The sequence below is a fragment of the Homo sapiens genome, chromosome 16, assembly GCF_000001405.40.
Source record: "Homo sapiens chromosome 16, GRCh38.p14 Primary Assembly".
In the NCBI taxonomy this organism is placed as follows: Eukaryota; Metazoa; Chordata; class Mammalia; order Primates; family Hominidae; genus Homo; species Homo sapiens.
The window spans coordinates 58,734,672-58,760,233 of record NC_000016.10 but is presented as its reverse complement, the minus strand read 5'-3'; the positions used below and the strand labels follow the sequence as shown (position 1 = coordinate 58,760,233).

Sequence of the window (25,562 nt, the reverse complement as noted above, 5' to 3'; positions counted from 1 at the left end):
AGTAATTTGATCATGGGGCAGTTTCCCCCATGCTGTTCTCCTGATACTGAGTTCTCACAAGATCTAATGGTTTTATAAGTGTCTGGCATTTCCCCTGCTTGCACTTCCCTCTCCTGTCGCCATGTGAAGAAGGTTCTTGCTTCCCCTTCGCCTTCCATCATGATTGTAAGTTTCCTGAGGCCTCCCCAGCCATGTAGAACTGTGAGTCAATTAAACCTCTTTCCTTTATAAATTATCCAGCAGCCTCGGGTATTTCTTTACAGCAGTATGAAAACGGACTAGTATAATGTAAGACCTGAAACTATTTAAAAGAAAAAAAAAACTAGAAGAAACCCTAGGAAAATATCTTCCGGACATTGGCCTAGGCAAAGAATTTATGACTAAGACCTCAAAAGAAAATACAAGAAAAACAAAAATAGACAAATGGGACTTAATTAAACCAAAAGTCTTCTGCACAGCAAGAGAAATAATCAATAGAGTAAACAAACAACCCAAAGAATGGGAGAAAATATTTGCAAATTAGGCATCCAACAAAGGATTAATATCTAGAATGTACAAGGAACTCAACAAGAAAAAAAAAAACAAATAACCTCATCAAAAAGTGGACAAAGCACATGAACGGACATTTTTCAAAAGACATACAAGCGGCCAACAAACATATGAAAAATTTCTCAACATCACTAATCATCAGAGAAATACAAATTAGAACTACAATGAGATGCAATCTTACACCAATTGAATGGCCATTATTAAAAAGTCAAAAAAACAAAACCAACAGATGTTGGTGAGGATGTGGAGAAAAGGGAACACTTTTAAGTGTATAGGTATATAAGGGAATACTTATACACTGTTAGTGGGAATGTGAATTTGTACGATTTCTATGGAAAGCCATATGGAGATTTCTTAAAGAGCTAAAAATAGAACTACCATTTGATCCAGCAATCCCACTACTAGGTATCTACCCAAAGAAAAACAAATCATTATATAAAAAAGACACCTGCACTCAGATGTTTATCGCAGCATTATTCACAATAGTAAAGGGATGGAATCAACCTAAGTGTCCATCAGCAGATGACTGGACAAAGAAAATATGATATATACATCAGAGAAAATTACTCATCCATGAAAAAGAATGAATTTATGTCTTGCAGCAACATGGATGGATCTGGAGGCCATTATCGTAAGTCAAATAATTCAGAAACGGAAAGTCAAATATCATGTTCTCACTTGTAAGTGGGAGTTAAACAATAAGTATACATGGACATACAGAGAAATAACAGATGGTGAAGACTCTAAAAGGTGAGAGGATAGGAGGAGGGTGACGAATGAGACTGTTCCTATTGGGTATAATGTACAGTATTCAGATGACGGGTACACTAAAAGCCCAGACTTCATTACTATGTGATATATCCATGTAACAAAACTGCACTTGTACCCCCTAAATCTATAAAAAATAAAAATAAGAATGAAAGATATGAAGAAGTATTTTACATTTTGGATATTTTCAGATTTTGGAATATTTGCATATACATATGATATCCTTTGGATGAGACCCAAGTCTTAGCACTTATGTTTCATATACACTGTATACACATACCCTGTGGGTAATTTTATACAACATTTCTAATAATTTTGTTCATGAAACAAAGTTCATATGTTGAACCATCACAAAGCAAAGATGTGGCCGGGCACAGTGGCTCACACCTGTAATCCCAGCACTTTGGGAGGCCGAAGTGGGTGGATCGCCTCCGAGGTCAGGAGTTCGACACCAGCCTGGCCAGCATGGTGAAATCCCATCTCTACTAAAAATACAAAACTTAGTCAGGCATGGTGGCAGGCGCCTGTAATCCCAGCTACTGCAGAGGCTGAGGCAGGAGAATCGCTTGAGCCCGGGAAGGAGAGGTTGCAGTGAGCTGAGATCGTGCCATTGCACTCTAGCCTGGGCATCGCAACAAGACTCCATCTCAAAAAAATAAATAAATAAATAATTATATATATATATATATATATATATATAAACAAATGTAGCACACTGAGGTAAGATGTTAGTAAGAGGGGAAGCCACATGTGTGGTATGTGGGATCTCTCTGTTCATGTACTATCTTCTCAATTATTCTGTAAATCTAAAACTGTTCTTAAAAAGCCTATTAAAAATTAAAAAAAAAACCACCTAACAATAAAACAAAAAACAAACAGAATCTCACTCTGTCACCCAGGTTGGAGTGCAGTGGTGCAATCTCCACCTCCCGGGTTGAAGCAATTCTCCTGCCTCAGCCCCCCGAGTAGCTGGGACTACAGGCATGTGCCACCATGCCCGGATAATTTTTGAATTTTTAGTAGAGACGGGGTTTGCCATGTTGGTCAGGCTGGTCTCAAACTCCTGATTTCAAGTGATCCACTGGCCTCGGCCTCTCAAAGTGCTGGGATTACAGGTGCACCATGCCCAGCCTGATTAAATATCTAAATTAAACATTTAAAGCCAGGCACAGTGGCTCATGCCTGTAATTCCCAGCACTTTGGGAGGCTGAGGTGGGTGGATCAACTGAGGTCAGGAGTTCGAGACCAGCCTGACCAACATCATGAAAGCCTATCTCTACTAAAAATAAAAAAACTGGCCAGGCATGGTTACATGGGCCTGTAATCCCAGCTACTCAGGAAGCTGAGGTAGGAGGGAAGCTGATGGAGGAGGATCGCTTGAACCCAGGAGGTGGAAGTTGCAGTGAGCCGAGATTGTGCCACTGCACTCAGCCTGGGTGACAGAGGGAGACTCCGTCTCAAAAAAAATAAATAATAAAAACAAATTTTAAAAAAATGAGAAGGAACCATTTATATTAGTTCCCTTTGGAGAGAGAGGATGTGAGAAGATGTTTTCTTCTTTTCGTTTTATCTTATGCCCTTACCAATTAACACATACCCATGTTAGCATTTCTAAATTTAAAAATGTAAACAGGAGAGTGGATGTGGACCTTTTTTGGTTCAGTAAGTATAAAAGTCTATGTTATAAAGATCTGGATTTTTTTCCCTAAGTAAACAATGTAGAGCAGAGTGAACGGGTTTATCAAGGGCTTGGATAGATGACCTTAAGTGGCTTGGCATTGTGTAAAGTTTCTATAAAGTTAAAAATAAATACGACAGGGCCGGGCACGGTGGCTCATGCCTATAATTCTAGTACTTTGGGAGGCCAAGGCAGGTGGATCAGAGGTCAGGAGTTTGAGATCAGCCTGGCCAACATGGTAAACCCCCACTCTACTAAAAAATACAAAAAAATTAGCCGGGTATTGGGGTGGGCACCTGTAATCCCAACTACTCGAAAAGCTGAGGCAGGAGAATCGCTTGAACCCAGGAGGCAGAGGTTGCAATGAGCTGAGATCTCACCATTGCACTCCAGCCTGGGGGACAAAAGCAAAATCCCATCTCAAAAAAAATAAAAATAAAAATAAACAAATAAACATGACATACATTTTACTCCAGAATACATCTACCTTTGTTCAGTTTATACAATTTTTAAATTGCTTTCTGGTGCAATCACCTAATTCTCTTTGAAAAGCAGAATCTGGCCTGCTGAGAAGCCAGATAAAAGGCTCAGCCCTTGAAGCCATCATTCTGCAGGAAGCATCCTGAGACTTCTACCACGAGATGGCAGCCGCTGCCTAGAGATGCTACAACCAGCCGAGGCCACCTCCGTAACACCTCGCAATAAGCTCACAGAATACTAGAGGGCCCTGAGAACTGTTGGTAGGGGCAGGGGCTGCATCCGAAAACATCTCCTGGTCAGGGGCCGTCCTCCCCATGCAACAACAGGTACACACTCCCGCCCTCATTCACTTCAAGAGTCCTGTTATCTTCCACACAGCTGTGCCTATTATACATACGCACACATACACATGCACATAACCACCCTGCACAAGATGTCCAAGCTGAGAAAACGCTCCTGAACTACCAGATCTCAAGGTTCAGAGGGATCTTGCATCTATCTGTTCCTTACTTCCTATTTTAAACACAGAAGTCACTGGAGATCGAGCACATTCAATAACAGTTTTAGTGGCAGGACTTACCAGACCTCATTGTCAACCGGGGCGCCAGTCAGTGGAGGATGAACTCCACACATCCAGGAACTGGAGGAAACCACAACCCATGAAGAGCTGGTGTTGACAGAGCGCCGCTCACACCAGGCTCTGTGACGTAACTTGATTCCCTTTTTCACTTCAGGAAACTGATTTTCAGCGCAGTAATCACCTCTCCATTGTCATACAATTACCTAGTGGTAGAAAAGAGATTCAAAGCCAAATGTGTCTAATTCCAAACCCCATTCTTTCTCCTGCTCCAGCATTTTCTAAAATACTGGAAAACCAAGAATGTCCAGTTATCTGAGAAGAATTTAGTGTCACTTGCAATTTTTCTTCTTTTTACCAATAATCCAGTCAAATTACACCAAGAATTTTGCCAAGTGCTAAATAGTAATTGTCCTACCAAAGACAAGCCATAGCTGAGTGGAACATCGAATTCTAGTCAACGTGAATTCTCAAAGGTATTGCATAAAATGGCGTTTTCTGTAATCACAATAGTGCCTAAAATGCCTCAACACCACATATACTTTTTAAAAATTATATAAAAATTGCCACATTCTCAAAAAGGTTAATAAATAAACTGTGCACTCTTAGGGGTTTTTTGTTGTTGTTTGGTGGTTTGTTTTTGAGACAGAATCTCGCTTTGTCGCTCAGGCTGAAGTGCAGTGGTGCGATCTCAGCTCACTGCAACCTCCACCTCCAAGGTTCAAGCAATTCTCATGCCTCAGCCTCCCAAGTAGCTGGGATTATAGGAGCCTGCCACCACCACACCCAGCTAACTTTTGTATTTTTAGTAGAGACAGGGTTTCACCATGTTGGTCCGGTTGGTCTCAAACTCCTAACCTCAAGCAATCCACCCACATCAGCCTCCCAAAGTGCTAGTGCTAGGATTACAGGCATGAGCCACCATGCCTGTAAAAAACGCCCGGCCAGGATTCCTTTTTCACATATGCTACTGCTGGCCACAGGCCATTATCATCAACACACCAATATGTGCTTGAGTTGTATTAATAAAAGGATAAAGTTCAAAACAATGGAAGTGATCATCTCACTCTACTTGCCTAGGTCAGACATCTCCTGTGGTGCTAAATTCTTTTTTATATTTTTTTAATTTAATTTTTTTTAAACCAAACAAGCAGCAGCGATGTGGTTCTAAATTCTTATCACGACATTTTAATGTTTTGTTAGCCAGAGAAGAGAGATTAGGAGGGCAGGGGCTACAGACCAGATAGCCCCAGGTCCTCAGCTGTTTCTCATGCCATGGGCTAAAGAAGAGATTATTAAAACACTAACACCTGTATTCAAATAGGCAGGGTTTTGTTTCTTTTTTTCTCCTGGCTCTAATGATCAGATACAGGCCTATGAATAGAAGGTACAGATAGAGTTTATCTCACCATAAGGTAGAGCACTGTCACACCCAACACTGTCTCACAATGAAATAGGTGGCCTGGTGAGGCCATCAATAAATATTTGATGAACTTGACAGCAGCAGGAGGCAGACAAATCCCTAGGCAGACATGAGCAGGTCCCCAGTGAAAACCCGACCTTCAAACCAAAGACAATCTAAAGCTTGAAAGTCAAGGTACAAGTCCCAGGTAAATCCATAGATGGGACTGAGAACCTCTTCCTGTTTGGCATGCTTTCCTCCGCTTGATCCCCAAACTTTACTTATTTTACATATACCTACCCTTCCCTAGTTGGTTTTATATACACTGTCGTGCCCACCCTTGGTTGGTACCTTTGTTTTAGCCTTTTCTGCACAATCACAAACCATCAGCGTGCACTCCCCATTCTGAGCCCATAAAAGTCCCAGACCCAGCCACACTTAGAAAGAAGCCACCCGACTTTGGGTGGAGGACCACCCTCGCATCCCCTCTCCATTGACAGCTGTTAAGTCACTCAGTAAAATTCTTCTCCACCCTCCTCACCCTTCAATTGTCAGCATAACCTCATTCTTCTTGGATGCAGGACAAGAATTTGGGACCCACTGAACGTGGGTACAAATAAGGCTGCAACACCATGACCCTCCACTCTCTGCTGGCGGAGAGCAGCTGCCCCGACGGGAAGCAGGGGCAGGGCAGAGCCAGCCCGAGCTGCTGGCCGGAGCAGGACGACAGGACTGACAGAGCTATTAACACGCCACCACCTGTCAGGCTGTGGACGGCCAGACCAAAAGAGCTATTAGATTGCTGTAACACCCCCTCTGGGGCTTCCGGGTCTCAGGCACCCCTGCTTGGGCACCACTGTGTTCCCCTCAGTGTGACACACCTGGTCCAGCTGCAAGACCCACATGGAGCCTGCTCCTGTGCCAGCACTTGGAACAGCCAGCCAGATCCTACACTTGCTGGCTCACAGATCCACTTCTGCCAGGAGCTGAGCAAGCAGTTGCAGCAGCCATGGGATTGTGCCAGAGTGCAAGCCAGGTGTGGCCTGGTGGGCTGAGTAGATGGGGCATCTCCTACAGCAATCCCAGGCGCAAGTAAAGCCTGAACAAGGGTGTCGCCACCAGAGGTCTCTGGCTGGCAGAGTGTCCAAGAAAAATCCTGCATCAAACTGATGAAATCCATAAACAGAATACCATTCTATAATATATATGTGATGTGCTATGCCAGGTTTTAGGTGCACAGAAAATATAGGTGGGCTCTGTCTCTGCCCTCACAAGCCTTCACAGAGAGAACAGACAAGAAAAAAATGGGGAATTATCATTATAAAGTAAGAAACGTATTCTAATAAGAACTGTCTTAAGAAGCCCATCAAAAAAGCACTTAACTCTGTCTCTGGGTAGGCAGGGAAGGCAGAGAAGGATTCCCAAAGGTTACCTAATTTGAGACCTAAACAGTAACTGGGAATCAATTGAATAAAAGAGATAGAATGAGAGGATTTTCCCCCTAAAAACAGTGTTCCTGGCCGGACACGGTGGCTCACATCTGTAACCCCAGCACTTTGGGAGGCTGAGACAAGTGGATCACCTGAGGTCAGGAGTTCAAAACCAGCATGGGGAAACCCGTCTCTACTAAAAATACGAAAATTAGCCAGGTGTGGTGTTGGGCATCTGTAATCCCAGCTACTCAGGAGGCTGAGACAGAAGAATCACTAGAACCCGGGAGGCGGAGGTTGCAGTGAGCTGAGATCATGCCACTGCACTCCAGCCTGGGGAACAGAGTGAGACTCCATCTTTAAAAAATAAATTGTTCCTTCCCAAACAGTTTTCTAGCACCTCCTTCAAAGATGGAGTCTCTGTCACCCAGGCTGGATTGCAGTGGCACAATCTCTGCTCACTGCAGTTTCTGCCTCTGGGGTTCAAGGGATTCTCCTGCCTCAGCCTCCCAAGTAGCTGGGATTACCAGAACACGCCACTACGCCCGGCTAATTTTTGTATTTTTAGTAGAGACAGGGTTTCACCATGTTGGTCAGGCTGATCTCAAACTCCTGACCTCAGGTGATCCACCCGCCTCAGCCTCCCAAAGTGCTGGGATTACAGGTGTGAGCCACCACACCTGGCCGTCTTCTTTAATGATTAAAACATCCACAAGAACCTTCGTTTAAGGTTACATGGAATTATGTGAAAGGGTTTACTGAAGTTGAAATTCACAAAAGCAAGGAGAGAGCTAGCCCTGGGCCTGGAAGTGGGCCAGACACCGTAGGTTAGATTAAGGCAGGAGAATAGCTTCCAGTTTGAAGTTAAAGTTTCTTCTTACTTTCACGGCTCTTTCAGGTGCTTAGTGTGAGACATAGCAGCAAGTGCTAAGAGGCCGTATTTGCTCATTTCTGTTTGAACCCCCGACTCTGATAAAATACAGCTCTCAGGAAGAATGTCTTGAAGTCAGAAGAGGACAGAGCGCACAGCCTCCCACATCCCTCGCCTGAGTCAATACATTCCTTAAAAGGATCAATTGAGGCCAGGTGCAGTAGCTCATGCCTGTAATCCCAATACTTTGGGAGGCCAAGTCAGGAGAATTGTGGGACCAGGAGTTAGAGATCAGCCTGGGCAACATGGCAAGACCCATTCTCAAAAAAAATTTTTTTTTTAAGGTAAATGATCCTTGCCTTGCCTTTTCTTACACTTAAGATAACGTCCAGTAGAGTTAGTGGTTATGCTTCTGTAAGCTACAACCAGTTTTTTTTGTTGTTTTGTTTTGTTTGTTTTTTGAGACGGAGTGCTCTGTCGCCAGGCTGGAGTGCAGTCTTGGCTCACTGCAACCTCTGCCTCCAGGGTTCAAGCGATTCTCCTGCCTCAGCTTCCCAAGTAGCTGGGACTACAGGAGTGCACCACCACATCCAGCTAATGTTTGTATTTTTAGTAGAGATGGGGTTTTGCCATGTTGGCCAGGCTGGTCTCAAACTCCTGACCTCAGGTGATCCACCTGCCTCGACCTCCTAAAGTGCTGGAATTACAGGCATGGGCCACTGTGCCTGGCCTGGATGTGATTTTACACATACTGAACCTCTGCCACCTGTGTACGAGCAGTAGGCACTTCCGGAACAGTCTGATAGGACATCTCTAACAGGCCACTCCCAGGCTGTAGGCTTCGGTTTCTAGCCCTCAGTAAGACTTCTAAATAAAACTATCTTTAATTCTTTAAAAGCTTGATGTTTTTCCTTTAACACCAGCATGATTTAAACAGAACTATTTGAAGGAATTAAGTGCTGTGAATTTGTATACTGGTTTGTTTCTCCAAATTGTGGTTAGGAGGGCAGAGCACAAATCCTAACTATTGGCCAGGTGCAGTGGCTCACGCCTGTAATCCCAGCACTTTGGAAAGGAGAGGGATCACTTGTGCCCAGGAGTTCGAGGCCAGCCTGGGCAACATGGCAAAACCTCGTCTCTACCAAAATACAAAAATTAGCCAGTTTCCTAACCCAATCCTCTAAATAAATAAACATTTAAAAATAAAACTAAAAAAAAAAAAAAAATCCTTACTATTGAGCACAGAGAATCTCTCCCCAGTAAAGCCTGAAGTCTTGACTTTGAAGTCAATGACTGCACCCCTCTCCCTGCTCTCCATACTCTGCAAGCTCAGGCCTGGGGTTTGTCTGAATCCCCTCAGTGAGCCATGATCGTGCCACTGCTCTCCAGCCTGGGTGACAGAGCAAGACCCCTGTTTCAAAAAAAAAAAAAAAAAAAAAAAAAAGAAGGCCGGATGTGGTGGCTCACGCCTGTAATCCCAGCACTTTCAGAGGCCAAGGTGGGTGGATTGCCTAAGGTCAGGAGTTCGACACCAGCCTGGCCAAGATGGTGAAACCCATCTCCACTAAAAATACAAAAGTGAGCCAGGCATGTTGGCAGGCACCTAGAATCCCAGCTGCTCGGGAGGCTGAGGCAGCAGAATCTCTTGAACCTGGGAGGCAGAGGTTGCAGTGAGCCAAGATCGTGCCACCGTGCACTCCAGTCTGAGCAACAGAGCAAGACTCCATCTCAAATAAATATTTTAAGAAATAAAAAATAAAAATACATAAGCAGCCAGGCATTGTAGTTCACATCTGTAATCCCAGCACTTTCAAAGGCCAAGGTTGGTGGATTGCTTGAGCTCAGAAGTTCAAGACTAGCCTGGCCAACATGGCAAAATCCTATCTTTACGAAAAAATACTAAAACTAGCTGGGTGTGGTGATGTACGCCTGAAGTCCCAGCTACTCAGAAGGCTGAGGTCAACAGCCAGCTTGAGCCCCGGAGATCAAGGCTGCAATGAGCCTTGTTTGCACCACTGCACTCCCACCTGGGCAACAAAGTGAGACCCGCCCCCGTCTCGAAAAACACAGCACAGTCACTCCCCTCACCCTACAACACCATGCTGACTCACGACCTGCAATTTCACAAGTTCTCAAGGTGATGTGCAACATGAGAAGCACTGCTCCAACTAACCTCTAAAAGCTTTTTCAAATTTATAGAATTCTATACTACACAATTTCAACACGATTGGGGTGGGAGCGGTAGGGCGCAGGTAATCGCAGCACTTTGTGAGGCTGAGGCGGCGCGGATTACGAGGTCAGTATTTTGAGACGAGCCTAGCCAACATGGTGAAACCTCACCTCGACTAAAGATACAAAAAATTACCCGGGCGTGGTGGGTGCCTGTAGTCCCAGGTATTCGGGAGTCTGAGGCAGGAGAACCACTTGAACCCAACGTATTCGGAATTGGTAGGTTCTTGGTCTCACGGACTTCAAGAATGAAGCCGCGGGCCCTCGCGGTGAGTATCACAGTTCTTAAAGGTGGCGTGTCTGAAACTTGTTCCTTCTGATGTTCGGAGTTTTTTCCTTCTGATGGGTTCATGGTCTCGCTGACTCAGGAGTCAAGCTGCACACCTTCCTAACGAGTATTACAGCTCTTAAAGCGGTGCGTCTGGAGTTGTTCGTTCTTCCCGGTGGGTTTGTGGTCTCGATGATTTCAGGAGCGAAACTGCAAACCTTTGCTGTGTTACAGCTCAAAAAGACAGTGCAAACCCAAACAGCAAAACAACATAAGCCGCGACAGTGTGGAAGGACGCCGAAACATGTTACCACCGCAACCTCAGGCAGCCTGCTTTTATTCTTATCTGGCCCCACCCACATCCTGCTGATTGGTCCATTTTACAGAGAGCCAATTGGTCTGTTTCACTGAGAGCTGATTGGTCCGTTTTGACAGGATGCTGATTGGTGCATTTACAATCCCTGAGCTAGACACAAAAGTGCTCCACCTCCCCACTAGATTAGCTAGATAAGAGTGTTGATTGGTGTATTTACAAACCCTGAGCTAGACACAGGGTGCTGATTGGTGTGTTTAGGAACCTTGAGCTAGATACAGAGTGCTGATTGGTGTATTTACGATCCCTTAGCTAGACATAAAGGTTCTCCAAATGCCCACTAGACTCCGGAGCCCAGCTGGCTTCATCCAGTGGATCCCGCACCACGGCCGCAGGTGGAGCTGCCTGCCAGTCCCCCACCGTGTGCCGGCACCCCTCAGCCCTTGGGCGGTTGATGGGACCAGGCGCCCTGGAGCAGGGGGTGGTGCTCGTCGGGGAGGCTCAGGCCGCGCAGGAGCCCACGGCGGGGTGGGGAGGAGACTCAGGCATGGCCCGCTGTAGGTCCCGAGCCCCGCCCCGCGGGGAGGCAGCTAAGGCCAGGCGAGAAATCGAGCGCAGCACCGGTGGGCCAGCACTGCTGGGGAACCCGCGCACCCTCCGCAGCTGCTGGCCCGGGTGCTAAACCCCTCACTGCCCGGGGCCGGCGGGCTGGCTGGCCACTCCGAGCGCAGCGCGGGGCCCGCCAAGCCCACGCCCACCTGGAACTCTAGCTGGCCGGCAAGCGCCCTGCGCAGCCCCGGTTCCCACCTGTGCCTCTCCCTCCACACCTCCTCACAGGCTGAGGGAGCCGGCTCCGGCGTCGGTCCATCCCAGGAAGGGGCTCCCACAGTGCAGCGGCGGGCTGAAGGGCTCCTCAAGCGTGGCCAGAGTGGGCGCGAGGCCGAGGAGGCACCAAGGGTGAGCGAGGGCTGCCAGCATGCTGTCATCTCTCACCAGGAGGCAGAGGTTGCAGTGAGCCAAGATGGCGCCACTGCACTACAGCCTGGACAACACAGTGAGACTCCGTCTCAAAAAAAAAAAGACCGGGTGCCATGGCTCACGCCTGTAATCCCAGCACTTTGGGCGGCCGAGGCGGGCGGATAATGAGGTCAGGAGATCGAGACCATCCTGGCTAACACAGTGAAACCCCATCAATACTAAAAATACAAAAAACTAGCCGGGCGTGGTGGCATGCGCCTGTAGTCCCACCAGCTACTTGGGAGGCTGAGGCAGGAGAGTCACTGGAACCCGGGAGGTGGAGTGAGCCTAGATCGCGCTACTGCACTCCAGCCTGGGCAACAGAGGAGACTCCGTCTCCAAAAAAAAAAAAAAAAAGATTGAGATGGGAGCATGAGGCTTTTGGTTGAAAAGTGTTACTTACTTAGCAGGAAAGCCTTGTCCGTATTGATCCCTGGTGACCACAGAACAGCTTTCATAATTTCAGCAGAATGTCCGGCTGTGGTCAAAGTAATTTTAAAACAACAATACAGCTGGTCATAGTGGTTCATGCCTGTAATCCCAGCACTTTGGGAGGCTGACATGGGAGGATCACTTAAAGCCAGGAGTTCAAGACCAGCCTAGGCAATACAGTGCGACCCCGTGTCTACAAAAAATTAAAATAAAATATTAGCCGGGTATGGTGGTACATGCCTATAGTCCCAGCTATAGGAAGACTGAGGCGGGAGGATCACCTGAGCCCAGGAGTTCAAGACTGCAGTGAGCTATCATTGTGCCACTGCATTCCAGCCTGGGTGACAGAGCAAGAACCTGTCTCTAAAATAAAAATTAATATTAAATAACAATACAAATGATGATGTAAGCGAGTAGGTGAAGACAGGACCTTTCTTTGACTCAGGACCCCCCTCATTGTTAGACCTTCCCAAACCCTCCCAGGAGAATCCAATATACATACATATATATATACATATATATATATACGTATATATATGTATATATATATGTGTGTGTATATATATACGTATATATATATACGTATATATATATACGTATATATATATACGTATATATATACGTATATATATATACACACATATATATATACACACACACACACATATATATATATATATATATACGTGTATATATATCTACCTGGATCCCTGGGTGAAAAGGATCCCCGCAATCATTTCTGAGGTCATTCTGGAAATGTTTCCTCTGGGTCTGTCTGGGAGCCAGCAGGAAACAAATGGGAGAGGCCCAGAGAAGCTCTGGATGCAGCAGAACAGAGCATGGTGTCTAGTAAGTTCTAAGTGATGGAACTTGGCGCCATGAACGCCTGAACCCAAAGGTCACTCAGACTGCCTAATCCAAGGACTTGCACATTGTTTTGTTAAAAATGATTCTGGCTGGGCACAGTCACCCAGGAGTTCAAGATCAGCTTAAGTGACAAAGCAAGACCCCATCTCCAAAAAAACGAAACAAAACAAAAAAAACTGATTTTACGTTCCAGCAGAAAGCCAGGTGAGAAGCGGAACGAGGCCAGCTCTTCCAGGTTGGCAGATGAACTGGGGGTCCCCAGGACAGGCTGCTGCCTCTGCGCTGCAGATGCCCAGAGCTCTCGCCGTGGCTGCCCTCCGGCCGGGCCCAGGCAGCAGGGAACCTCTCTCCCCTCCCCACCTGGGTGACTTGATGGCAGTAACAGCCTCTCCCAGCCTGGACCATACCAGCCACGAGGTCTCCTGGCCCAGTCCTGCCAGGCCCAGGCAAAGCCCCTGCAAGCTGCTAGGACACAGTGCCCTTGAGTGGCATGGGTGTGGCCAGGCGAAAAGGCAGGTCTACTGACACAGGCTTGGTCACCTCTGTAGGCCACGGGGCCGTGCAGATCTGGATCCTGGGTTGCCCGGTCTGTCCCAATTGGACAAGACCTCCCTAGGCCTGAACCAGCCAGGAGATGAGGGAGCCCAGGACAACAACAGATGGATGAGTCAGCAGCCATCAGACAAATCTACCAGACCTTAATATAGGTAGAGAGAAATAGTAGAAAAAGAGACCACATTTGGCCAACTGGAAATGCCTACCACCCTTTGGAAAGATTTACTGGCTGTGTGTATAATACACAGAAGGCCTGTGTATATAATATGAAAAAGCTAATCTCGATTTGCCCCCCAACTTTTTAAAAGAAAAAATTTGGCTGGGCTGGTGGCTCATGCCTATAATCCCAGCACTTTGGGAGGTCAAGGCGGGAAGATCGCTTCAGCGATCAGCCTAGGCACGTTCACAACCAGCCTAGACAACATAGTGAGACTCCCTTCTCTGCAAAAAATTTAAAAATTAGCCAAGTGTGGTGATACACACCTGTGGTACCAGCTACTCAGGAGGCTGAGGTGGGAGGACACTTGAGCCTGAGAGGCAGAGGCTGCAGTGAGCTATGAGTGTGCCACTGCACTAGAGCCTGGGCAACACAGCAGAGCGAGACCCTGTCTCAAAAACACAAAGAAAAAGAAAAAAGGAAACATTTGCAGCCAGGCACGGTGGCTCACGCCTGTAATCCCAGCACTTTGGGAGGCCGAGGCGGGTAAATCACCTGAGGTCAAAAGTTTGAGACCAGCCTGGCCAACATGGTGAAACCCCGTCTCTACTAAAAATACAAAAATTAGCTGGGTGTGGTGGCGGGCACCTGTAATCCCAGCTACTTGAGAGGCTGAGGTATGGGAATTGCTTGAACCCAGGAAGGTTGCAGTGAGCCGAGATTGCACCATTGCACTCCAGCCTGGCCTACAAGCGAAACTCCATCTCAAAAACAAAACAAAACAAAACAAAACATTTGCTACATCTAGTCCTTCTAGATGTAAAGAGGTTGCCAATTATGACAGAGTTAGAAAATCACACATCTTGTAAACATCCATTTGTTTTTTTAAAAAATCATAGAGATATGTCTCCTGAAAATGACTTTTTTCTTTCTTTTTTTTTTTTTTTTTTTTTGAGACAGGATTTTGCTGTCACTTAAGCTGGAATGCAGTGATGCGAACATAGTTCACTGTAGCCTCAAATTCCTGGGCTCAAGCAATCCTCTCACCTCAGCCTCCTGAGTAGCTGGGATTACATGCACATGCCACTATAACCAGTTAATTTTTTTATTTTTTATTTTTTATTTTTTTTGTAGAGATAGGGTCTTGCTATGTTTCCCAGGCTTGCCTAGAACTCGTGGCCTCAAGCAATCCTCCCATCTCAGCCTCCCTAAGGGCTGGGATTACAAGCATGAGCTACCCCACCCCAACCCCGCCACCCCCACTGGAAATGACTTTTTGAAATGTAGAAGCACCAAGAGTGACACACGTCCACGTTTGTACAGGGGGTTAGAGGACGTGAAACAGAAGTCTGTGAGAAGGAAGAGAAGGTTCTATGCCAGGCAGGTCATATGGAGAAGATGTTTTCATGTCATAATCATTGTTTCGTGCGTGCATTTTATTCTTCACTACTTTATATATAGTTGACAGTGCAAAGTACTTTTTTGAAATAACTAGTCTTTCTAGACGTTCCGAAGTGCCTGATATATGTTAAAAGTAGAGGTAGTAAAACATCACATTTTGTAAAACTTTTTTTTTTGAGACAGAGTCTCGTTCTGCCCAGGCTGGAGTGCAGTGGCGCGATCCCGGCTCACTGCAACCTCCACCTCCCAGGTTCAAGCCATTCTCCTTCCTCAGCCTCCCAAGTAGCTGGGATTACAGGCATGAACCACCACAACCGGCTAATTTTTGTATTTTTAGAAGAGATGGGGTTTCACCATGTTGGCCAGGCTGGTCTTGAGCTCCTGACCTCAAACAATCCGCAGGCCTAGGCCTGCCAAAGTGCTGGGGTTACAGGTGTCTTTTTGTTAAAATTCATGTGAAATGTTTTTGCCTAGTACACGTCGTGTTTGTGCACCGGTTCAGGGGAAGAAGGAAGCTCACTATAGCCTCTCAAAGTGCGATGAACTCTGCACCACTGTGCTTATAATGAAGCAAGATTAACCACTAGCCCTTCTGTCTGTGCATTTTGTTTTACTTATCTGTATATATCGTGTACATAAAAGATAAACGAGTCCTAATTTACAACAGCTACTCTTTCTAGATGTTAGAGAGGTTGCCAGTGTATGACAAAAGCAAAAGTAGAGTTAGTTAAATTAATATATTTTGTACATTTTGTTTTAAAATTCCTAGGAAAGATTGTCATCTGAAAATTTGAGCATTATAGCCCACTGCGTTGGTGTAGAAGGGAACAGTTTTAGGCCAGAATGTTCATATTTTGAAGACACTGTTAAATGATAACTATTGTGCTCACTTTGGCAGCATATACGCTAAAGTTGGAATGATACAGAGAAGATTAGCATGGCCCCAGTGTGAGGATGACATGCAAATTCATGAAGCGTCCCCTATTTTCTAATAAGAAATAAAGAAAAAAAAAAGCAGGCTAGGCACAGTGGCTCATGCCTGTAATCCCAGCTTTTTGGGAGGCCAAGGTGGGTGGATCACCTGAGGTCAGGAGTTTGAGACAAGACTGGCCAACATGGTGAAACCCCCTCTCTACTGAAAATATAAAAATTAGCCAGGCATGGTGGCGCATGCCTGTAATCCCAGCTACTTGGGAGGCTGAGGCACAAGAGTTGCTTGAACCCAGGAGGCAGAAGTTGCAGTCAGCTGAGATCCAGCCAGGATCACAGAGCCAGACTCTGTGTCAGGGGAAAAAAAAAAATGAAAGAAAAGAAAAGAAAAAAAACTGCAACTATTGTTTCATGTGTGAGGTTTATTCAGTACTGCTGTGTCTATGGAGGACAAATATCCTTACCTGAAACATCTAGTCTATGTAGATGTTTACAAGTACCCAACACATGTTCAATATAGAGGTAGTAAAATATCAATTTGTAAATATCTTTTTGCTGAAATTCATAAGAAATATTATCTTTTGGAAATAAAATTGTTAAACCACCTCTATGAGCAGGATAGTACCATCTATACTTTTCAATGGTTTGCAGGAGGTGGGAGGGAAGGAATTGCAAAAGGTAATATGCTAGTGCATTCACACTTGGAAATTTTCAGACACTGTTTTTCTGCGCATTTTGTTTATTTTGTTTTGCTGTGTATCTAGTGTATGTAATGGACAAATGAGTCCTAATTTTCCAACACCTAGTCTCTAGATGTTAAAAAGGCTGCCAGCGTATGACCAAGTCTTAGTAAAATTAGCTCATTTTGTACAGTTTGTATTGAAATTCATAGGAAACACTGTCCTCTGTAAATGACTTTTGGATATGAGTTTGTGCAACCTCTGTAAGCATTACACATGCCTGTACTAGTCCACTGGATTGATGACAGAGAGAAGGAAGTGAGGAGCATATGGTTCAAGCCCACGATGTTCTCATACTTAGAAGATACCTCAAATTATATGCAAAAACCTCAATTGCTTTTGCACCAACCTATAACAATTGTTACATGTATGCAATTTTTTTTTTTTTTTTTGAGACGGAGTCTCGCTCTGTTGCCCAGGCTGGAGTGCAATGGTGCAGTCTCGGCTCACTGCAACCTCTGCCTCCTGGGTTCAAGCGATTCTCCTACCTCAGCCTCCCGAGTAGCTGGGATTGCAGGTGCCCGCCACCATGGCTGGCTAATTTTTGCATTTTTAGTAGAGACAGGGTTTCTCCATGTTGGTCAGGCTGGTCTCGAACTCCTGACCTCAGGTGATCTGCCCACCTTGGCCTCCCAAAGTTCTGGGATTACAGGCGTGAGCCACCACGCCCGGCCCACATGTGTGCAGTTTTAACAGTGCCATGTACACAGTGGACAAGTTCTAATATGAAACACCTCTGAGAACAGTATAATCTCTGTAGTTGTTCATTGGGTTGAGGGAGATAAGAGGGAAGAAATTGCAAAATGTGTTTTGTTACTGTGTACTAGAAAATTTCAGCTTATTGGATGGGTGCAGTGGCTCATGCCTGTAATCCTAGCGCTTTGGGAGGCTGAGGCGGGCAGATCACCTGAGGTCAGGAGTTCGACACCAGCCTGGCCAACATGGCAAAACTCCATCTCTACCAAAAATACAAAAATCAGCCGAGTGAGGTGGGAGGCACCTGTAATCCCAACTACTTGGGAGGCTGAGGCAGGAAAATCACTTGAACCCAGGAGGCAGAGATTGCAGTGAGCTGAGATCCTGCCATTGCACTCCAGCCTGGGCGACACAAGCAAAACTCCATCTCAAATAAATAAATAAATAGAAAATTTCAGTCTATCCATTGCCCTATATGTTACATGCATTTCACTTAACTTTTCTGTACTGTATGTATTGTGTATATACTGGACAAATGAGTCCTAATTTTATAATGTCTAGTCTCTAAATATTAGTAAATAACACATTTTGTACAGTTTGTGTTAAAATTCATGAAAAGCTGTCTTCTGAAAAGGACTTTTGGAAGTGAAATGATAACATCTCTTCTAAGTGACACATGTCCCTATATCCACCAGATTGTTGGTGGAGAGGAGTTGGAAGAAATGAAGGATTCAAACCAGAATGTTCCTTGGCACTGACAAGGAAGTGAAAAAGTAAAAAGAAAAGAAGAAAAGAAACCAGAATGTTCCTATTTAGAAGATACTTTCAGATATAACCATTGCTACATGTGCCATTTATTTAATATTACTGTGTATATAGTGGAAAACTTAAGTCCTTATTTTTTTATTTTTTATTTTTTATTTATTTATTTATTTTTTGAGACGGAGTCTTACTCTGTCACCCAGGCTGGAGTGCAGTGGCGCAGTCTTGGCTCACTGCAACCTCCACCTCCCGGGTTCAAGCGATTCTCCTGCCTCAGCCTCCCGAGTAGCTGGGACTACAGGCGCATGCCACCACTACTGGCTCATTTTTGTATTTTTAGTAGAGATGGGGTTTCACTATGTTGATCAGGCTGGTCTTGAACTCCTGGCCTCATGATCCGCCCACCTCGGCCTCCCAAAGTGCTGGGATTACAGACATGAGCCACTGCACCCAGCCTAAGTCCTTATTTGAAACATCTACTCTTTCTAGATATTTAGAAGTGGACCAAGTATGTTAAAAGTAGAGGTAGTAAATAGCACATTTTATAGATATCCTTTTGTTAAAATTCATATGAAATGTTGTCTTTTAGAAATTGGTCAATTTAGAAATTGATTTCTCTGAGCAGTACACATTATTATATTTGTGCTAGTTCAGGGAGGAAGGAGGAGAAGAAAGTTCAAAGGGCTTTATACAAGAGTGTTTATGGTGAACAACATTTGACCGTTGTCCCTTACGTCTGTGCGTTTAATTTTACTTTGCTGTGTATCTAGTGTATATAAGGGTCAAATGAGTCCTGCTTTACAACATCTAGTCTTCCAAGATGTTACAGAGCTTGCCAGCATATGACAAAAGTGAACTTAGTAAACTAATACACTGAGTACACTTTACATTAAAATTCATAGGAAAGACTGTTCTTAAAAAACACTTATGGAAGTGAAATTTTTAAAATCCCTTGTAAGGTCAGGCATGGTGGCTCACACCTGTAATCCCAGCACTTTACGAGGCCCAGGCAGGTGGATCACCTGAGGTCAGGAGTTTGAGATCAGCCTGGCCAACATGACAAAGCCCCATCTCTACTAAAAATACAAAAATTAGCTGGGAATAGTGGTGGGTGCCTGTAATCTCAGCTGCTCCAGAGGCTGAGGCGGGAGAATGGCTTGAACCTGGAAGGCAAAGTTTGCAGTGAGCCAAGATTGCACCATTGCACTCCAGCCTGGGCGATAGAGCGAGGCTCTGTCTCAAAAAAGAAAAAAAAAAAAAATCCCAGCCTGGGCGGAGTGGCTCATGCCTGTAATCCCAGCACTTTGGGAGGCCAAGGTGAGCGGATCACGAGGTCAGGAGTTCGAGACCAGCCTGACCAACATGGTGAAAACCCATCTCTACTAAAAATACACAAAAAAAAAAAAATTAGCCAGGCATGGTGGCATGTGCCTGTAATCCCAGCTACTCAGGAGGCGGAGGCAGGAGAATCGCCTGAACCTGGGAGGCGGAGGTTTCAATGAGCCGAGATTGCACTACTGCACTCCAACCTGGGCGACAGAACGAGACTCTGTCTTAAAAAAATAAATAAATAAAAATTAAAATTAAAAAATCCCTCCTAAGCATTGCAGATGCTTATACTTGTCCCCTGGGTTGATAGAGGTAGGAAGGGGAAGGATTCTAGGCCAGAATGTTCCTAGTTAGAAAACATATTGAAATTATAGCCTTTGTTATGTATGTGCACCGTTTACTCAATGGTACTGCGTGTATAGTGAAAAACTTAAGTCCTGTTTGAAACAGCTCATCTTCCTAGATGTTTAAAAATGCACAAAAATATGTTAAAAGGGCTAAAGTAATACCCTTCTTTTTTTTTTTTTAAACATTATAGGAGTGGTTGCATTTTGGGGACAGAATTGTTAAAGTTGATGTCTTGGAGGGTATGCTGACTGCTCATTGGGTGGTGGTGGGTGATGGGGAGGAGGAAGTTTGCAGAGAGAAGGGTTCTATGCCCATGAGTTAGACTACTTCAGATGGCCTAACCATTGTTCTATATGCACATTTTAGTTATTATTGCGTGCATTAAATAATAAAATAAGTTATAATGCTCAAAGTATGTTAAAGTAGAGGAAGTAAAATAATCCCTTTATAAATGTACTCTTGTTCGTTTTTACAAACACCTGTCTTCTGGGAGAGACCTTTGTCCCTAGACCTCTTGGAGCTAGACATAGTCCTGTACTTAGTCCCTGGAATGGTGGAAGGAGAAGAGAAAGGGTGGAGGGAAGGGCTCTTCGGTAAATATCTAGAAGATGGTTTTAAATTAAAATCATAGGTCTACATGTGCATTTTTAGTAAATTAGCTGTGTTTCTTGAGGACAAAGTTCATTGTTTTGCAACATCTAAGCTTTATAGATGTCCCGAGGTGACAGTGTAAGACAGGAGTATTCAATCTTTTGGCTTCCTGGGCCACACTAGAAGAACTGTTTTGGGTCACACATAAAATACACTAACAATGATGACAGCTGAAGAGCTAGAGGAAAAAAAAATCACAAAAAAACTCATAATGTTTTAACAAAGTTTATGATTTTTTTTGAGATGGAGTCTTACTCAAAAATCAAAAACCTGATGATTTTTTCAAATGAGCATTTACTCCATATTGTAAAATACAGAGAAATGGAGACATGGTGGTTGACCCTGAGGGGGAAGGAGTGCTGTCATTTGCTCCTGAGACTGTCAGAGCAGGTGGACAGCTTAAAGGACCCGTGGCTCAGGACCAAAACCTGAAATGCAGTATTCATGAATCCAAGTAATTAATAGTAGGGTTGGAAATATGAGGTGCGTGGGTGAAAAAGCCCAGGGCAATGGCCAGAAGGGGCAGGTCCACAGAAAAGGGGGGTGGAGGGAGACTGGGGAGGTAGACAGCCAGGACAAGGAAGATAATCAGGAGGGGCATAGGCCATGTCTTTTCCTTCCTTCCTCCTCCACATACCACATTACCTCAGTCCTTTAAAGTTCAGATCAAATGTCACCTCCCCCATGAAGGCCTCCCTGATTTCCACAGCTGACATTGAGCCTTTCCTCCTCTGTGCTCCCCTGGCTCACTCTCTCCTCCATCTGATCTTTGCCACACTCTGCCTCCTCCTATTTTAACTTCCCCCCCACCCCTCGCCCCCTGACAGCGTCTCACTCTGTTGCCCAAGCTAGAGTGCAGTTGCACAATCTCGGCTCACTGCAACCTCTGCCTCCCAGGCTCAAGCAATCCTCCCACCTCAGCCTCCCAAGTAGCTGCAACTACAGGCGCACACCACCACACCTGGCTAATTCTTGCATTTTTTTTTGTAGAGACAGGGTCTCACTATGTTGCCTAGACTGGTCTAGACCGGTCCTGGACTCAAGCAATTTTCCTGCTTCAGCCTCCCAAAGTGCTGGGATTACAGGCATGAGCCATTGCACCTGGCCCATATTTTAACTCTTTTAAAAGTTAACTGGTGTACGTCCTTTGCACTCCAGCTGCTTTGAATGGAGATGTGATGGATGAAGCTATGGCTACTATCTTGGACCACTGGGAGTCAACCATACTTTAGGGAGGGCGGGGCGAGGATCTGGAAGGACTTGACTTCCTAAGGACTCTGGGTCAGAAATGCCACCCCAACCCTGGACTGCCTATCTCCAGATTTTTATGTGAGAAAGATATATATGTTAAGTCAATTATTCGGGGTCTCTGTTAACTGCAGACAACCCCAATTTTAACTAAAGCATTGGGAATTATTTCTGACTCCTTTTCTACCTTTCTCTGCATCTAATCACCAAATCCATCTGATTCTACCTCCTTGATATGCCCCAGATCTGTAACCTTTTCTACATCACTGTTACCTCTACCTGAACTCAGGCAATCAGAATTTCTTGCCTGGATTCCTGTGTAAACCTTCCTTCTACCTAGTCTCCCCACTGTAGGGTTGTTCCTTCCAATCCACCTTTCATATCAGGAACTCAAATTAGCATATATACATATGTATATGTGTGTATATATATATATGTATATGTGTATATGTATGTATATGTGTGTATATATATGTATATGTGTATATATATACACACACAAAAAACTATATGCACACACACACATATACACACATACAGAAAAGTACAGAATCCAATGTGACAAATACTCAACCCCAAAATGGTGACAATTGTTAATCTGATCTGTATTTTTTCTTTTTTTCTTTTTTTTTTTTTTTTTTGGAGTCAGAGTCTTGCTCTGTGCCCAGGCTGGAGTGCAGTGGCACAATCTAGGCTCACTGCAACCTCTGCCTCCCAGGTTTAAGCGATTCTCCTACCTCAGCCTCCTGGGTAGCTGGGACTATAGGCACGCGCCACCACATCTGGCTAATTTTTGTATTTTTAGTAGAGACGGGGTTTCACCATGTTGGCCAGGCTGGTCTCTAATTCTTGACCTCAGGTGATCCGCCCGCTTTGGCCTCCAAAGTGCTGGGATTACAGGCGCGAGCCACCGTGCCTGCCTCTTATCTATAATTTTTATGAAGCTAATATGACAAAGTTGTCTCCTTCCCTCCACAAGGGCAAATACGCTCATGCCCTCCTAATCCTGTATTGAACCATATCCTTGGCATATTTTTTCAAACTTTTACATACATTTATGAATAAATGTATGTTATGGTTTTGTGTATTTTAAAAATATTGTCTAAGTGGCACCATATTATATGTATAATTCTATAGCATGTTTATGTTTTTGAGGTCTATCCATGGTGACATCTATTGAGTTCATTCACGTTAGTAGTTCTGTAATGCTCCATCATGAGACTGTAGCAGAACATCCATCTCTTCCTCCATCGATGGGCGACTAGGTTGTTCCCTGTTTTGCTTTTATAAACAATGCTTTACTGACAGCCTTAAAAATGTGTGAGAAGATCTCTAGGGTTTATACCTGGACATGTAATTGTTTTGGGAATAGTAGTTGTTATGTGTTGAAATGTGCCCCCAAAAAAGATACGTTTAAGTTCTAACCTGGGGAACCCATTAATGTGATCTATTTGAAAATAGGGTCTTTACAGATGTAATCAGGCGAAGATGAGGCAATTAAGATGCACCCTACCCCAATATGATTGGTGTCCTTAAAAGAAGAGAAGAGACAGACAGGGAGAGAACACTGTGTGACACCAGAGGCAGAGATTAGTGATGCCTCTAACAGCATACGAATGCCCAGGAGTGCAGACAATTGCCAGAAGCTAGGAGAAGCATGGAACAGAGTCTCTGAGACCCCATAAGGCACAAACCCTGCCAATACCTTGATTTTTGATTTTGGGCCTCCAGAATTGTGAGTGAATAAATTTCTGTTGTTTTAAACCACCCAATTCATGGGGATTTGTTACAGCAGTCTGAGCAAACTGATGTACTGGTATGTTTGAAATTCTTGTTTCTTGGTGCTGTAAAGAAATAGCACTTGAACATAAATTTAATTTCCTCAGCAAGGCCATCTTTATACTTTCGGCAGAAAGGGTACACTCGACAGCAGTTTTGCCATGAGAGTACACCAAACAAAGGAGACAAGGTCACTTATAACCTGATACATCCACCTTGCTGCTGTGTCCGGTTTTCATTGGCTGGAACAGGTCCTCACATTTTGTATTTGTTCTGATTGGCTAGCAACTTAGAACTTTTTAAAAGAGGCAAAGGCAGAGGAGAGCAAAGGAAGGAGGAAGTAACTTGTGGAATGCTGAGAAAGGTAAAAACACCTTCAAATAAGGAAGAGGAACAGGCTATGACCTAATGCTTGCTTGGACCAGTATAAGCATGCCAGGGCAAATATTTAGGCTAAATGGTGGCAGCTAGGAACATAAAGTACATTGATTTCTTTATTATGGCTAGCAGATATTTAAGACTGTTAGTACAGGTCTTTGAATACATTTTGTTTTTAAGAGAAGTTACTATTTATTTCTAATTAGACAGGGAGGAAAGTCTTTAAAGAAGAATCTCTACTTTACTTTTCACAGGTAGAATCCCAAGTCATGGCCTATAGGCGCATAGGTCAAGGTCATATGAGAGCATAAGGGTCTGAGACAGTAAATTGGAGCTGGGCCGGAAGGACCTAGAATGTGGCCCTAAGTAGGGGTTTAGACTTTACCATTCAGGCAACGTGGAGCCACAGAGGAGATATTAAATTGCCAAGGTACACAGTTCTATCTCGGTTTTATTTTATTTATGTATGTATTTATTTATTTATTTAGAGCCAGCGTCTCACTCTGTTACCCAGGCTGGAGTGCAGTAGCGCAATCCTGGCTCACTGCACTCTTTTTTTTTTTTTTTTTTTGAGTCGGAGTCTGGCTCTGTTGCCCAGGCTGGAGTGCAGTGGCGCGATCTTGGCTCACTGCAAGCTCCGCCTCCCGGGTTCATGCCATTCTCCTGCCTCAGCCTCCCGAGTAGCTGGGACTACAGGCGCCCGCCACTATGCCCGGCTACTTTTTTTTTGTATTTTTTTAGTAGAGAGAGGGTTAGCCAGGATGGACTCGATCTCCTGACCTCGTGATCCGCCTGCCTCGGCCTCCCAAAGTGCTGGGATTACAGGCGTGAGCCACCGCGCCCGGCCTGCACTCTTGAATTAATGGGCTCAAGCAATCCTCCCTCCTCAGCCTTCTGAGTAGCTGGAACAGGCACGCAACACCACATCCTGCTAATTTTTTTTTATTTTTTTAAGAGATGGGGGTTTCATCTTGTTACCCAGGCTGGTCTCAGACTCTTGTTTTCATGCTATCCTCCTGCCTCAGTCTACCAAAGTGTTGGGTTTACAGGCATAAGCCAACACACCGGGCCCCTACCTTGGTTTAAGAGACGAGTATCAGAGAAATAGACTACACATGAGAAAGACTCGTTTGACTTGTGGATGTGTCTGAAATTCATTTGCTTTTTCCTTTAAAACCGATTCATTTCCTTCAAAACCGATTCATTTCCTTCCACAAACAGTTATCAGGATTTGACATACACGAGTTTGTCATTAATGACCATGGGTTATTTTGTGCTTACTAAATCAGGCCCTGTTTTAGACATAATCTGCTAATCTTATTAATCCTCACAACTGCCCCACAAAATACACATGCGACCCTCTCCATAAAAGGGATAAGGAAGCCAGGTGCGGTGGCTCATGCCTGTAATCCTAGCAGTCTTGGGAGACTGAGACGGGCAGATCACTTGAGATCAGGAGTTTGAGACCAGACTGGTCAACATGGTGAAACCCCCGTCTCTACTAAAAATACAAAAATTAGCCGGGCGTGGTGGTGGCACCTGTAACCCAGCTACTCGGGGAGCTGAGGCAGGAGAATCGCTTGAACCTGGGAGGCAGAGGTTGTAGTGAGCCGAAATCACGCCACTGCACTCCAGCCTGGGTGACAGAGTGAAACTCCATCTCAAAAAAAAAAAAAAAAAAAAAAGGGTGGGGGATAAGGAAACATT

The 25,562-nt window shown here is 44.7% G+C and overlaps 1 long non-coding RNA gene and 1 pseudogene across 2 annotated transcripts in view, besides 3 other annotated features; one reads left to right on the top strand and one right to left on the bottom strand.

Annotated features, from left to right (window-relative positions):
• LOC107984867 (uncharacterized) overlaps positions 1–10,564 on the bottom strand; it is a 114,037-nt gene extending 103,473 nt beyond the window's left edge. For both annotated transcript variants that reach the window (XR_001752227.2, XR_001752228.2), the window contains exons 1-2: positions 10,121–10,564; positions 4,056–4,258 (exon numbers count right to left, since the gene is read on the bottom strand). This is a non-coding gene — a long non-coding RNA (uncharacterized LOC107984867). The remainder of the gene's footprint in view (positions 1–4,055; positions 4,259–10,120) is intronic.
• Positions 3,535–3,829: a silencer, noted in NCBI's record as "tiled region #6563; HepG2 Repressive DNase unmatched - State 12:CtcfO". NCBI's record gives its function as "represses a minimal TATA promoter and a strong SV40 promoter by Sharpr-MPRA in HepG2 cells {active_cell/tissue: HepG2}" and the evidence as "EXISTENCE:reporter gene assay evidence [ECO:0000049][PMID:27701403]".
• Positions 12,787–13,287: an enhancer, noted in NCBI's record as "H3K4me1 hESC enhancer chr16:58780851-58781351 (GRCh37/hg19 assembly coordinates)". NCBI's record gives its function as "activates a minimal SCP1, AML or CMV promoter by ChIP-STARR-seq in naive H9 embryonic stem cells {active_cell/tissue: H9 hESC(naive)}" and the evidence as "EXISTENCE:reporter gene assay evidence [ECO:0000049][PMID:30033119]".
• Positions 13,288–13,788: an enhancer, noted in NCBI's record as "H3K4me1 hESC enhancer chr16:58780350-58780850 (GRCh37/hg19 assembly coordinates)". NCBI's record gives its function as "activates a minimal SCP1, AML or CMV promoter by ChIP-STARR-seq in naive H9 embryonic stem cells {active_cell/tissue: H9 hESC(naive)}" and the evidence as "EXISTENCE:reporter gene assay evidence [ECO:0000049][PMID:30033119]".
• RNU6-1155P (RNA, U6 small nuclear 1155, pseudogene) lies at positions 15,877–15,983 on the top strand (annotated as a pseudogene).